Consider the following 16,375-nt stretch of genomic DNA (forward strand, 5'->3'; position numbering starts at 1 on the left):
GGTATCTAGGCTTGAGGGTAGGGCCTTTGCTGGGGACCCCCACCCTCCTGCCTCTTGTTCTTATCATTTCTAAGGCATTGCCTTAGAAACTGTCTGAGAGGTAAAGATTTTATTTCCACAGTCTCATAATTCACATCCCAGTTACTTATGCATATGTCTGGACAAACTTTGGTTGCAGTGTTTGGCAGCTCTTTGTGCTCTGCAAAGTATTTCTGTGGCATTTGAAATGCTCAGACAACCCCAACAATGTGGGAGTTGAGGAGGAGAAAATGTAGATGCAATTTCCCTTCAGAGTTATGCATTTTGCACACAATGCATAGTGGGCGGAACATTTATGTGAATTGTGCCTTTGGGGCATCATTGAAAGTTATGGCCTGTAAGAAAATGGGAATCAGTTTTATTTAAGTTGGTCTTTAAAAGGCAGCCCTAGAGGAAATTTTATCCCCATTATCTCTGTCAACTGCAACTTTTATGTCTTGCTGCTGACTGTCTATTACACTCCTACCTCTCAAGTCATCTTCTGTATCTACATGGCATTATTCCACTTGGGCTTCCTCCCATAATTCATTTTCTCAACTTTAAATTGATTTGTTTTTAAGAGAGAGGGTCTCCCTATGCTGCCCAGGCTGGTCTTGAACTCCTAGGCTCCTCCCACCTCAGCCTCCTGAGTAGCTGGGACTAGAGGAGTCACGTACCACCATGTTTGGCTTTTAACTCTTTGTTTTTGAAATTATCTCAGACTTAAAGACAATTTGCAAAAATAGTACTGAGAGTTTCCATATATCCTTCACCAGTTTCCCCAAATATTCAAATTTCAGCTTGTTTATTACTTGTCTTCTTTTTCTTTCTCTGAAATTTTTGGGAGTAAGTTGCAAATATGATGTCTTTTATCCCAAAATGCTTAAGTACATGTTTCCTAAAAATAAATGTTCTTTCACATAACTGCAGTACAATAAGCAAATTAGGAAATTAATATTGATCTAGTATTAATTTAGTCCAGCAGTTGGCAAATGTGCCTTCCCAGTTATGTTTGTAAATAAAGGTTTATTGGAACATAGCCATGCCCATTTGTTTATGGACCATCCTTGGCTGCTTTCTGCCTACAATGGTATTGTTAAATAGTTGTGGTAGAGACTACATGGCCTGCAGTCTCTGAAAACATTTACCATCTGATCTTCTAGAGGAAACACTTGTGAGGCTTCATCTGGTTGATAGATCTTATCGAATTTTATCATTTGTCCATAATGTCTTTTACTGCAAAAAAAAAAAATAATTCTCATTTGGCATCCTGTCCGTGATCACATATTATATTTGATTGTTATGTCTTTTTATTCTCTTTCATTGTAAAACAATTATTTGGTGTTTCTTTATTGTTCATGACCTTGATACTTTTGATAAATACAGGACATTTATTTTGTATACCACATTTCAGTGTAGGTTTGTGAACTTTTCTCGTGATTTGATTTATGTTAAGCATTTTTGGCAATACTCAGATGTGATGTTTTGTCTTTCTTAGTGCAATCTAATGGGGCGCACATGATGTCTATTTTTCTCATTATTGGTGGTAATTTTGATCCCTTTGGTTAAGATGATAAGGTTTCTCCACTGTAAAATTGTTTTTCCCTTTGTCCTTAATACGTATCTTGTGGGAAAATGCTTTGAGTTTATGTAAGTATCATATTTTAAATCAAACTTCCACCAGTAGTTTTAGCATCCACTGATAGTTCATCTCTATAACAATTACTATTATGGTGGTTGCCCAAAGCGATTTTTCTTTTTTTTGAGACAAAGTCTTGCTCTGTCACCCAGGCTGGAGTGCAGTGGCGTGATCTTGGCTCACTGCAACCTCCGCCTCCCGGGTTCAAGAGATTCTCCTGCCTCAGCCTCCCCAGTAGCTGGGATTACAGGCACCTGCTACCACACTTGGCTAATTTTTTATTTTTAGTAGAGACAGGGTTTCACTATATTGGCCAGGCTGGTCTTGAACTCCTGACCTCATGATCCACCCACCTCAGCCTCCCAAAGTGCTGGGATTACAGGCATGAGCCACTGTGCCCAGCTGAATAAAGGAATTTTAAAATTCGCTTTGGTGGCTCACACCTGTAATCCCAGCACTTTGGGAGGCCGAGGCAGGTGGATCACAAGGTCAGGAGTTTGAGACCAGCCTGGCCAATATAGTGAAATTCCTTTATTGTTCCATATTTACTAGTGTGAAATCTATTCTTAGCAAGGATCTTCCTTCCTCCCTTCTTTCTTTTTTCTTTTCTTTCTTTCTTTCCTTTCTTTCTTTCTTTTTTCTTTCTTTCTTTCTCTTTTTTCTTTCTCTTTCCTTCTTTCTTTCTTTCTCTCTCTTTCTTTCTCCCTCTTTCTCTTTTCTCTCTTTCTTTCCTTTCTTCTCTTTCTCCCTCCCTCACATCTTTCCTTCCTTCCTTCCTTCCTTCCTCCCTCCCTCCATTTTTTTCTTCTCTCTCTCTTTATTTCTTTCATCCCACGGATTTTTAATTTTATTTTGTGGTCTATAATCTATAACTATCGTTGTTTATTTTGATGCTCAAAATGTTCTAGGACAATTTTTACTTTTAACAATGATTCATTAGGTAGTAACTTGAAATACTCAGGGTCAAACGCTGTGTTTCAAACATCTCTGCATAGCTGTTGCCTAGTATAGTGCATGGAAATGTTAGGCATTCAATAAATATTTTTTTGAATGCAGGTCCTAACTCAAATGACTAAACCACTAAATATGGAATGTTAAACACTGGATTAGACAATGTATTAGGCATATGTTGGAGTATAGCTTCAGTATTATAGCCAGTGTGAGCAAAAACCATGATTTTTTTTTCTTTTTTGATTAATATTTTCTGAGTAGTGAGGCTCACTTGATTTTTAAAAATTTAATCAATTTTTTCTCACTTGCTTTTGAGACTGAAATCTCTTTATCCGAAACATGGCTTTCCCTAGACATATTCTAGTTCTCGCTTAGTGGGAAGTGTTCCAAATTCCCTTGTGGTCTAAAACCTTCTTAGTGTTATCCAAGTGGTGGAAAGTGATTGTCTTAGGGATTCAGGAAAGATTTTTACCTGACTCCAGAACAACTAATTCAGAATAAAAGCAGTTCTATGTATTTTCCAAATCTCTATTTTCTGAAATCTATAAAAACTGATCACAATAGTACTTCTAAGAAATGATAATGATATTCTCTTATTCAACATCACCTTCTTTGGTTCCATTTTTTCCCCTAATTTGTCAACAAAGGGAAAATTCCTGTTGATGCTTTGCGTTTTGCTGTTATGACTACCATTTATGATTTGCCCTTGAGATCAGTGAACTGGTTTGGGGTAGGATGGGCTGGTTTGGGAATTATAGGAATGTTACTTGAGGCTGTCTGTGCCTGGAAGGAAGTCATGAGTAGTGAAGAGGAAATAGCTGAGATTGGCTTAAAGGAAGTGTAACCAGTGATATTTTCCCCATTCCTAAGTCAAGTCTTTGCTGTTACCATCAATAACTGCTAACTCAGAGGATGCAACCTTAGTAATTCATTTCCTTAAGTAAGTGGATTCTACAGGCATGATGCTTACTTCTTGGCCGATATTGAAGTATCTAACAGGACTTCAGTGGAGCTTCCATATTGTCAGTTTCTGTACCCCTGTGAGCCTCTGCTCTCCTGCTAATCTTCCCAGTCTGGGAAGTAGACTTGGACAGAGATCGGTCTTCCTTTTGGCTCTGTGGCATGGCATAGCTGAATCAGGAGGTTTAAATGCATAATTAAGCATCCTTGCTTTCTGATTAGCTCATGAATTGCCTCTTAATCCTTAGAGTAAAATTGGTCCATTTTGTCTCAGTTTTGGAGGTGAATTATCTAAGAAGGTAACAACATTTTTTCTTTGAGGTAGGTGTTCATTCTATTTGTGTAGCTGAACCAAAGTTGTTCTTGGGAGCAACATGACCATCAGATATGTGCAAAGCAATTTAGAATTAATTGTACAGGGTGTCATGCATTCATTATTTTCCCCAGAAGGGTTAGGCATTGTATTTTAACTGGTGTCTACAGCATCTGACTGCAGGAATTCCCTTGAGCATCTCATTTGCCCACCGTCATTATCTTTTTTCTCCCTTCTGAGCTCTCCTTCAGCAAGAACTCTGTCTCTTCTATGTGCCCTGTGACACATCTTATAAATTGCTGCACCAGATTCTGATGAACCTTGATATTCATGGAAACTGCAACCCAGGTGGGAGATAACCTTTGACAGGCTCTCTCCTATTCTTTAGTGGCCAGTTTCACAAAGAGGCTGCAGGAAGCTGCTTCCAGCAGTCTGAGTCCTGAGGAGGAGACGATAACAGTGGGAGAAGCACCTGGTAACAGCGGCACTTCATCCAGGAAGAAAACAGGATCTAAAATATAAACAACATCCTTACAACACAAGTAAGTGCACAGTTCACTCTCGAGTGTGTTCGACTATATTCTTCCAAGAGTCTCATGAGAATCTTACTGAAACAGGAAGATGGTCAAAAGATGAATCAAAGTGTCAAGATTTCCAGTGGACACCATCAAAAAGGATTTTTTTGTTGTTGTTGTTGATCTTTTATTTTTAAACACATGAGTATGACCAACCATGCCATATCTACAATGTCGAACTTTTTTTTTTTAGCTGAATAAAAATTTAAATACCTCAGAACTGACACTATTTTAAGGGAAATGATGTAAATGGGAACAAAACAAAAAGAAGAAAGAGTTTCGATGATCCTGTCTCTCTAAAAGCATCTCTTCCAAAGCAGATGTTATCTTTGTTAAACATCATAGGATTAGTAAAGATGACATTTATTAAGTGTTTGCCATTCCAGGCATTGTGCAAGGTGCTTCCTGGGTAGCATCTCATTTAATACTCTGGAAAGTTATGCACAGAGAGGGTAAGTAGCTCTCCTAGTGTCTCACAGCTAGTAAGTCCTAGTGTCTCTCAGCCAGGACTGAGACCCAGGCAGTGTGGCTCAGAGCTGGCTTGCTTGTCCTTTACACTCTTGCCTATCTGTACCATTTATACATTTTAAAAAGAATTATATTGATAGAACCATTTATACATTTTAATAAGAATTGTATTGATAGAGGCATGAGGCAGAGAAATTCTAGGCAGACAGGGGTGGGTCCCTGGCAAAATCCCACCTTCAAGTCAAAAATCCTGAAACCCGTGGCCCAAAAATGAGAATTTCTATCCCTATTTGCTCACTCTCTCTCAACTGGTTCTTTCTGAATAATGTCTTTCTAACAATCAAATATTGCCTTTTCCAAAACTACCTATGGCCTGCCAGGATCCCCATCTTGTGCCTGTAAAGACCCCAGACTCAGTCAGTAGAGGAGAGAAGTGGCTTGACTGGAGAGAGGTGACTTGACTTCAGGGGGATGGCTGGACTTTGGAGGAGAGACAGTTTAACTTTGGAGAAGAGCCAGCCAGAGCCAGCCAGACATCAGGGAAGATTATCTTCCCTTCCTGTCCCCTCTCAATCATCCCTCTCTGCTGAGAGCCATTTCTATTGCTACATAAAATTCTCTACCTCCACCAACCTTCAAGTGTCCGTGCAACCTAATTCTTCTTGGATGCCAGACAGGAGCTTGGGACCCACTGAATGCGGGTACCCAAAAAAGGCTGTCACACTGGCTCTTTGTTTTCACTGGTGGAGGGCAGCTGCCCTACACAACGAGTCAAGGAATCTACTGAGCTGATAACACGCTGCCGTCCATGGACGGCAGAGCTAAGAGAGGATTGTAACATGCCCTCTGGGGCTTCACGGGTCACAAGCACCCCCACCCTGGCATTGCCACGGGGCCTGCATGGAGCATGCTCCTGCCAGCACCCAAAGCGGCTGTCTGGAACACTCACTCACTCATGTACTCCCTCCCACAATAGGTTGAGTGCAGTGAGCCAAATAAACAGGGCACCTCTGTTGCAAGTCCAACGGGAGGGGTCGAGAAAAACTTCTGCATCAGTATTGTGTCCATACTCTTTTAAAAAGACCCTGTGGCTGGTAACTAAAAAGCCATGATCAGTATGCTAATTTCGTTTCTTCAAATTATCAATGTCTCTTTAGTTGTAGACCAAAACACCAATAACATTTCATGCCAAAAGCCATTTCCTTAATATTTCTATGGCCTTCAGTCAATGCCACTACATAGTTTTTAAGGATCAGGCCCAAGACCTTTTGCTATCAATTATCAAGAAAAATCTGCTGGGTGTGATGGCTTATGTCTGTAATCCCAGCACATTGGGAAGCCAAGGTGGGCAGATTGCTTGAGTCCATGAGTTTAAGACCATCCTGAGTTTGTCTCTACAAAACAAAAATAACATAAAAAGAAAGAAAATGAAAAGTAATATCTCTACTTTAGAACTTCTTTGTAGTATCCTTGTTTATTGCAAGGAAAAGAAACTGAGGCAGAAGACAAATTGAGAAGGGAAATGTCAAAAGTAAATGTGTCATTCTTACCTCTGAACAGGTATAACTATCATGAGATTTTAAGAATGGTGGACATCCAAGCTGGTTCCTGCTATTCAGAGCAGAACCCTCCTATGACTTCAGCTGTTTCTTCAGTTGGATTGCCACTGACATTTCTGGGACGACCTGAAATCTCTAGAGATTAAGTCTTTCAGAACTAGATGTACCTGACCATCTTGAAAATGCACCTGCCCACCTGGTCTAATTAGAAAAGTTACTATTTCAACAAATAGCACATTTCTCTAAAAAGAAATGGGATAAAGTAGCTCAAGATTTTAAGACAGGTGCTAAATTCTATCTTGTTGTAGTCATCTTCATGTTATTAATTCATCCATTCATGTAGCAAATGTTTACTGAATATGTGCTGTGTACCAGGCATTTTTCCAGGGTTGAATGCAGCAGTGAACCAATATAAAAACTGCTGTCCTCCAGTATCTTATATTCCAGAGTGTTATTAAGTGGTCTACATTTTATTTCTACTCAATAACTGTAGATCAAAAGAACAAATGGTGGAACATGATAATAATAAAAATATAATTGCTTTGTTAAATTTTCACAGGTATTAGCAGTGTGCCAGGCACTTTACATGTATTAGCTCCTTAATCTTTACAAGAAATTTATGTAGATTTTAATTTACAAAAATGACTAAGTTTTTGATTCAACCAAATACAATTATTATTCCCATTTTAAAGATGAAGAAAAAGAGAAATCCACTCCGCAACCAATGAACAGATTTCCTAAATATCATGTAGATAAATGTGTTGGAACTGGGATTGAAACGAAGGGGCCCCTGACTCCAAGTCCACATGATCTGTCACCATGCTCTACTGAATCAGAAGGGTAGAACTTACAATTAAATATGTCCAGATGAATAGAATATTAGTTTAAAGGAAAATTGGCAACCGTTAATATAATCACTGTAGATGTTAATACAATATAGCCAGCACACACTGGCTTAAGTTTATTTTCATCATCATCTTTATATGCCAATAGCATTTAGCCCTTGTAATGATTTTCAGGTGCCAAGATAAGCTCTGGAGAAAGAGCTTCCTTTTGCAGTGAACCCAGTGAATCATTTATCCTTCCCCTAAGATCAGGAACTATTTTAAGTACCTGACTTCCAGTGAGTGTTGTGGAGATTGACAGGGGTGCTGGTTGTATTTTGCACAGTTTTAACTCACCCACTCTGACTTTCCCCAAGGCACATCAATAAGACGAATCTATCTACAAAAGGTTCCTTGTGACTCTTTTATGTGGAGTATGCCTGATTCTTGCAAAAAAGCTAAAGGGCCTTAGTTTCCTGCAGGAAATCTGTAACTAAATCCAGGACCTAGAGCGGAAACATTAAGTGTATCGTGGGAGAAAAGGAAAGCAAAGTGCTAAAGTTGTTACTCTGAACAGAGGATATCGGAGCATCCTGCAAAAAACTTCCTGTTTAGCCAGGAGACTAGAAAACAAGATGAAAAACACTTAACTTCAATGACTATTGTGTAAATATATTTTTATACTTTCATTATCTTGGGCAGGGCTTACTCACAAGAACTCATGGTTTCCCAAGGTGGAGAGTTAGTCACTGAGTCACACCCAGCCTCCCATCTTCCTTGTTTTGACGGCCACACTAAGACCTTGTGTCATTTGTATAGGCTATCCCTAGGCCTGTACCACATCCTATGCTGAACTTTCTTCCCGGAATGTGCTTCCTTCAACTGGTATTAAACAGCCTGTAGGACAGATTCAGAGAATGCATGGGAAATAACCTGCCTTCAGCTATCCTGCCTCCTCCAAAATCAGGCTATGGGAACCAGTGGCTCAGTAAAGAGCAAGAAACACTGTTGGATAAATAAAACGAAGCTGCTAATTATGCTTTCTATTCTGAAACACTTTCAGTGGTAGAATAAGATGAAATTCAAGAAGGAAAATTGGAGTTTGTAGGGAGTGATGGAAAATGTAAATGATTAGAAAAAAAGAAAAATTGGAGTTTTGAATTCCTTTATTATGACAATTTTAGACACTTGGTCAAGCACATCCCAAATGATGTTATATTGTGTTAGATGTTAGAGTATGTGTTATGTGCAATGTTGTACAGGGAGTGATTCTGAAAAGAGACATTCTCAGTTGTTTTAAACTTATCTCACTGGATTATTCTGTATGGAACAAAGTAGAAATGTTTTAAATGGGAAAGAATGGAAAGCTAGTCCCTTTTTCTTTATGTTAGCTATTGAGATTCACTAGTGCATCTATCTCATAGTTGTGTGAGGGCTGTTTAGCCATCTTCCTTCCAAGATCTTCTTAATCTTCCTTTTCTCCTTCCTCTCCACCCTCCAAATCAGGATGACCTCATAATTATTCTTTTTTCTTGCACCATCAGTTGTGAAATTTCCTCATTAAAAACACTAGCAACAAATAGATAAAGACAGAGAAGCACCTTCCATATAAATCAGTAAAGATGAAAAAGCATAATTAGTGGCATGATGTGGTTTGGCTCTGTGTCCTCACCAAAATCTCATCTCAAATTGTAATCCCCAGAATCCCCGCATGTCAAGGGAGGGACCTGGTGGGAGATGATTGGATCATGGGGGCGGTTCCCCCATGCTGTTCTTGGGATAGCGAGTGAGTTCTCACGAGACCTGATGGTTTTATAAGTGTCTGACAGTTCCTTCTTCACACACACTCCTCTCTCTTACCTGCCGCCATGTAAGATGTCCCTGCTTCCCCTTCCACCATAAGTTTCCTGAGGCCTCCCCAGATGTGTGAATCTGTGAGTCAATCTCTTTCCTTTATAAATTGCCCATTCTCAGGTATTTCTTTATAGCAGTGTGAGAATGGTCTAATACATGATCTGTCTGAAATCCTGTTTTCTCTTCTGTTCTTTCGGACACCATAGATTTGAATACAAGCTCGCTTTGGAGACAGAACCTGTTGCTACTACTTTTGTAAGATAACATTTGTTTGCTAAGACTCTGATTCTGTTCTACATATAGTTTTATATTTTCCTTGCAGTCCTTAAGAATGCTGTGATGAGTTATAATAATAGCAATAAAAATAAATCTGCCAATTGTTGAGTTCCTTTCCCTGGTTGTTAATTTTGATAACCTCTTTAACGCAATGACCTCCTCTATACCACTTTCAATGACTGTACCTTGGGCCATGTTGACAATTCGAGTTGTTCCACTTCAGAAACCCAGAGTTCCCTCTCTCTAACTCTGATCACTTAGCTTCTGGTTAACTCCTAACAGGAGCTCCTATTATACCTGTTCTTTGGTCCTCTCATGACCTCTGGTCCTTTGAACATTTCTATCAGTTCCCTCTGGTCTTTACTTCTCTTCTTGCTTAGCTTAGCTTCACACATTTCATTTCTTGACTCACTTTTTTTGCCAGTATCCTAGATACCTTTGCTCTGGTTGTCATTGTTTTGTTGTTTGACCTCATGTCCACAAGACTGAGTTGTTAGTATACGTATGGTTAATCCAAGCAAGCTTCCTTCTTCCTTTAATCACATTTTTATTATTCAATTATTTTCCCCATCCTCCTCCATCCCTGATCCATTAACTCTTCTTGACATATGGCATCTGTGGATTACATTAGGGGATATTGCCTCAATCCAATTTCCACAGTTGTATTTTGACTTGAATATATCTAACCACCTATTAGATTAGGGCCATTCCTTTTGCTGTTTTCTCTACCTAGAACATTCTGCCTTCAGATTCCTAGAGAGTTTTCTCCTTTAGTTAAGTGTCATCTCATTAGCAAAGCTTCTCTGAACACTGTATTTAAAATTGTAGCACATCTTATGATAACTTTTGAGGACAAGCATCTCTCCATGTAAATAGCCTGAAAATGTAAGAGGAATGGAATAGTTAATTAAAACATGACATGCTCATAGATAAAATATAGGTAACCATAAAGATATGTAAATAAAGTATATAATTCTAAATATGCTTGGGATACTAATGCATGCATACATATATAGCTACTTCCATATATATATATATTTTTTTTGAGACGGAGTCTTGCACTGTCGCTCAGGCTGGAGTGCAGTGGCACGATCTCGGCTCACTGCAAGCTCTGCCTCCCGGGTTCACGCCATTCTCCTGCCTCTGCCTCTGGAGTAGCTGGGATTACAGGCGCCCGCCACCACGCCAGGCCAATTTTTTTTTTCTATTTTTAGTAGAGACGGGGTTTCACCGTGTTAGCCAGGATGGTCTCGATCTCCTGACCTTGTGATCCGCCCGCCTCAGCCTCCCAAAGTGCTGGGATTACAGGTGTGAGCCACCGTGCCTGGCTTCCATGTTTTTATACACAGATACGTACCAAGAAACAGACATACCTGCATTCAGGACTCTGGCTACATAGTTGTAGGGCTCTTTGCAAAATAAAAATTTGAAATCTCTTTTTCAAAAATTATTAAGAATTTCAAGACGGTGATAGGAGAGGATTAAACCAAGAATGGGATTCTTCTGAGTGTGTGGCCCTATCTGACTACACAGTGTATGCTCATAAAATCAGCTATGGATGAATATGTTGATGACAAAATTACTACAAAAAGATACGTTCAGATATTTCTTGTAGCTACCCTTTTTGATAGCATTATGGATGTTTATTATTTTTTTCCTACTACTTTTTGATACTACCTACAATTTTCTCAATGGCCATGGGTTGCTTTAATAGTCAGAAACAAGTCTGGGCATGGTGGCTCACTCCTGTAATCACAGCACTTTGGGAGGTCGAGGCAGGCAGATCACTTGAAGTTAGGAGTTCAAGACCAGCCTGGTCAACATAGCAAAAACCTGTCTGTATTAAAAATACAAAACATTAGCTGGGTGTGGTGGCATGGGCCTGTAGTCCTGGCTACTCATGAGGCTGAGGCAGGAGGATCGCTTGAGCCTAGGAGGTCAAGGCTGCAGTGAGCCAAGATCATGTCACTGCACTCCAAAGTAAGACTATTTCACACAAACAAACAAACAAAAAGACAGAAACAAAATTATTTCTAAAGGAAAGTACGATTTTTAAAAAATCGTGCAAAGCTATGATATATTCCCTGAAATTCAACTGTGAGGTTTCCTAGACATGCATATACTTTGCTGGTGAATACTCAAAATACTTCATTTTGCAGATTTGGGTATTTCTTTTCTTTTTCTTTTTCTTTTTTTTTTTTGAGACGGAGTCTCGCACTGTTGCCCAGGCTAGAGTGCAATGGCACGATCTCAGCTCAGTGCAAACTCCGCCTCCTGGATTCAAGTGATTCTCCTGTCTCAGCCTCCTGAGTAGCTGGGATTACAGGCGCACACTGCTGTACCCGGCTAAGTTTTTGTGTTTTAGTAGAGACCAGGTTTCACCATGTTGGCTAGGCTGGTCTCTAACTCCTGACCTCGTGATTCACCCGCCTCAGCCTCCCAAAGTGCTAGGATTACAGGCGCAAGCCACCGCGCCCGGCCAGATTTGGGTATTTCTTCTACAGTTGCCTAGTAGCAACAAAATTGGTCAAAATTGATTGAAGTAGATAAAGGCTGTCTTTATTGTCCTTCTGCCTTTCATTTTTTCTCCCCATGAAGGTCTCTCTCAGCATTTCCTTTTAGCAGTCTACTAACTTCCTGTTTTCTAACACACCCCTTTTTATAAGAGAAAAAATAGTTATCATTTGTTAGAAGGTTACTGTGTGTAAAGAACCACACTAAGTAAATTATAATATCTCCTTTAGTCTTTTTAACAGTCTTTTCAACTAGATAGTATTATCCTAGTTTTATAGGAGAGCATGTAAAGGCATAGAGATTATGTATCTGTGGCTAAGGTCATAGTAAGAGACAGAGCTGGGATTAGAATTCAGGTGAGGTAGGTCAGTCTCTAAATATGGCCACCAACAATTCCTCCCATCTCTGTACATGCCTGCAGTGTCTCAGATTAAGAAGAGGAAATTATGTCCCCACCCCTTCATATAGAATACCTTCATAACTTGCTTTGCATAATAGAATAAAATAGAAATGACTTTCTAGGACTTTGGCATTTAGGCCTTAGGATAACTGGCAGCTTCTGCTTCTTAGGCCTTGAAACCTAGCCACTATGCGGTAAGGAAATTCAGGCTAGACTACTGAATGATTGGAGACCATATATAGAGGGGTTGAGAATAAGTAGGTCATAGTGTTGCACGTGTAAACCTCACAGTCTAGTGGGGGAGACAGTTCCATAAACCAAAAACCACAAAGCATTGTAATGTGTGTTGTACTAGAGGTGAGTAAAAAATGTTGTAGAAGCCAGAATAAAGTGGTAGCCTCGTGTGTGAGTGTGTGTGTGTGTGTGTGTGTGTGTGTGTAGAACGTAGCTTTGTGGAAGTGGTGACAGCACTTGTCCCCCATCTCGAAGGGTATGCAGAGATTTCCTAGGTAGAAAAAGGCATCCCGGGCTAAGAGAACAGTATTTGCAAAGTTATGGAAATGTAACAGAACAAGACATGTTTAGGAAATGGTGAGTCAATAGTACTTTCTATAGTTTCGTTGATTCTTATACTTCTAAATTTTAACTGCTTTAAAAGATGTAAACTTTCTCATTGCAGCTTCCCATGCTGGTAGATGTGGAGGATGGATGTGAGGAAAGGCTTCCTCCACTGATTGGTGGAGAAGATTTTTTTTTTTTTTTTGAGACAGAGTCTTGCTCTGTCTCCCAGGCTGGAGTGCAGTGATGCGATCTCGGCTCACTGCAACCTCTGCCTCCCAGGTTCAAGCAATTCTCCTGCCTCAGCCTCCCAAGTAGCTGAGACTATAGGTGCACACTACCACACCCGGCTAATTTTTGTATTTTTAATAGAGACAGGGTTTCACCATGTTGGCCAGGCTGCTCCTGAACTCCTGACCTCGTGATCCACCTGCCTCGGCCTCCCAAAATGCTGGGATTACAGGCGTGAGCCACCGCACCTGGCCAGGATTTGTTTTTAAACATTCATTCCTCTTAATTGATTTTTTTGTTGTGATATTTGAATGTACTGTGTTAGTTTCCCAGGGCAACTGTAACAAATGACCACAAATGTGGTGGCTTAAAAGGACACAAGGTGGGGAACATCACACACTGGGGCCTGTCATGGGGTGGGGGGAGGGGGGAGGGATAGCATTAGGAGATATACCTAATGTAAATGACGAGTTAATGGGTGCAGCACACCAAGATGACACATGTATACATATGTAACAAACCTGCACGTTTTGCACATGTACCCTAGGACTTAAAGTATAATGAAAAAAAAAAAAAAAAGAAAGAAATCTATTCTCTCACAGTTCTGGAGGCCAGAAGTCTGAAATCAAGGTGTTGGCAGGGCCACGCTTCCTCTAAAGGTGCTGGAGGAAGGTCCTTCCCTGCATCTTCCAGCTTCTGGTGGCTCCAGGTGATTTTTGGCTTGTGGCAGTACCATTTCTGTCTTTCTCTTGGTCTTCAATGGCCTCGTTCTCTGTGTCTGTGTTTTCTCCTCTTCTTATAAGGACATTGTCTTTGCACTTAGGACCACTCTAATCTACGATGATCTCATCTTGAGATTCTTAATTACATCTGCAAAGACCCTTTCCCCAAATAGGGTCCCCTCTATAGGTTCTGGGTAGACATATATTTTGTTGTGGGCCACCAATTAACCCAGTACATATAGTAACAAACATTTACCTTTGCTAATGGTTTATATTTAACAATAATTTTTTTAAAAAAATTCTCTGTTTTATCATTTATAAATTTCAAAAAGTTTAAAACTCTAACGTGTTTAATTCCAAATGTGACTTTGGCTGGGTCTCTCTCCTAAGCAGCACTTTAGTAGATTTTTCTCAGGCAGAATGCAAAAGGTCTACATCAGAGTAGAACTGGCCCTGTGATTAGCTATGCTAAATTGAAACCTTATGAAATATAGTGTGGTTACATTAAATGGCAGTTAGAATGTGGTCTACATTATTACAAATAAATGTTTTTCATTATATTTTACTGTCAGCAAATGCTGGTATAAAACTCATTGCCTTTCCTCATATGGCTACCTTGAAGGGAGTCAGAAAATACATTGGCATCTGAGATCTTCATGTGAATTATTTTGAGAATTCCAAAGACTCCAAACTCAATTCAAAGAAACATGATGGAAATTTCATGGGCTTTTAATTGGACTTTCATCTTTGCTTCCTTTGTCAGTAAAGAATGACTGTCCTGGAACTTGAGGTTGTTGCTAGACCCCCTTCTTAAAAAACAAACAAAAAAAACCTAAAGGTTCTATAGTTAAAGCCTCTTGGGAGGGGAAGAAGACTCACTCAGTACACAGAATGATAAAATTTTACTTGCCGAGGTAACATACATGACTTTGGACAGGTTTAAGCTCCTTTTTCATTGGAAGGAAGAGAACTTTTAGGCTTGCAGGTGCTATTTCTTTCTTCTTCCAATTTCTACAACTGGAAACTAGTCATTGTAGGGTTTTCCTTAAATAAGTCCAAGTCTACAGGAGGCAGCAGGGAGTCTATTCCACTGAAGCCTTCCTATGAGGATTGAACAGCTTCTAATTTCTTGATCATTCTAATCATCATAACCATCTGGAAGATTTCGTCATTAAACTAATAGTTGGTAATCATATTGTCCTGGCTTTCAAAATAAAACAAAACGATAAGGGCTTCTAGACAATCCAAGCAGGCTATTTGTCGAACTGCTCTATTTATCTGTGTCGATTTCATTTATATATTTCAAACACCCACTGCCTCTAAAGTATACCGAATCATGCCCTCAAGCAATTGGTCTCATCTACAAAGAATGAGCCTGACCCATGATTCTGTGCTCCTCTGTTTCTCACATTATAGTCATAAGTTAGCCCAAAGAGAGAAGCATATGATTCTTTGGATGAGATCTCTGTTATCTTTTAAGGAGATAAGAATCATAAACTCCATTCAAAGGTGACATCAGAACAATGAAGGACATTCTGAGACAGAGCGAATGACCTCATGACATTTTCCCTAGATTTTCTAACTTTTCTTCTGTTTAGTAATCAATCATTCACTGACTCTAAATGTATGGGAGGTAAAAGTTTTTCTTTACTTTCTTATATTCTGAGGGTGGGCCTGCAAGTTAAACTGACAAAGATAGATGAATGGAAGAAAATTGTACACATTGTATGTGATGTTAATATTCTTATGTGGGCAGGGTTTTCATAGAAAAGAGGTGAAAACCCCCCAAAAAGCAGGTAAACTGGAGGGCATCTATAACATTTTAGCAAAGGATGATAACCTGGGGAGAAGCGACTATGACAGAGGAAAGAGGGTTTGGGCTTCCAGGGGTGGTGAATGGTGGGAAGGTAAATTTATGAGGAAAAGCAATAATAAACAAGAGTTATTTACTAAAGTTTGCTTACACAGCACATCTTGGTGCTATCTCCATCTCCTGATAAGGGTTGTTCTCCTCTTTCTAATAGGGGAGGGTGGGGGACACCTTTGTTTAGCCTAAAGCTAAGGTTTCGCCATATACAGTGAACTGTAACTCAAGGGGCTGTGGAAATATAGACTGTAACCTATTCTTGAAACAAGTAGCCAAGTTTTAGCCAATCACAGCAGCTGAGTTTCAGCCAATCACAGGCAGCCAACTGTCTAAACTGCGTTTAAATAAGGCAGATGCTGAGCTGTAACCAATCCAGCTGTTTCTGTACCTCACTTCTATTTTTTGAACCTCACTTTCCATTTCCTGTCGATTAATGTTATCTGACCATGTGGCAGCCCAAGAGTCGCTGGGAACCTATTTTGCTTCTGGGAGCTGCTTGATTCATGAGCTTAATTAAATTGTTAAATCTAATTTGTCTAAAGTTTTTCTTTTAACACCTTCACGAGGGGAAGTTTATGCCCTGCTTTAAGCAGAGGGGGACGGCAGAGCTCTTCTGTGTCTGCTTTTTCTCAATTGCCCCCAGCTC

General features: G+C 39.7%; 1 long non-coding RNA gene across 2 annotated transcripts in view; it reads left to right on the forward strand.

Moving 5' to 3' along the window:
• The first annotated feature begins 3,469 nt into the window (after nucleotides 1-3,469).
• The window catches only part of LINC01483 (long intergenic non-protein coding RNA 1483), a 309,014-nt gene continuing 296,108 nt past the window's right edge, over nucleotides 3,470-16,375 (forward strand). For both annotated transcript variants that reach the window (NR_109971.1, NR_109972.1), the window contains exons 1-2: nucleotides 3,470-3,548; nucleotides 4,270-4,423. This is a non-coding gene — a long non-coding RNA (long intergenic non-protein coding RNA 1483). The remainder of the gene's footprint in view (nucleotides 3,549-4,269; nucleotides 4,424-16,375) is intronic.

This window comes from Homo sapiens, chromosome 17 (assembly GCF_000001405.40).
Source record: "Homo sapiens chromosome 17, GRCh38.p14 Primary Assembly".
Classification (NCBI taxonomy): domain Eukaryota; kingdom Metazoa; phylum Chordata; class Mammalia; order Primates; family Hominidae; genus Homo; species Homo sapiens.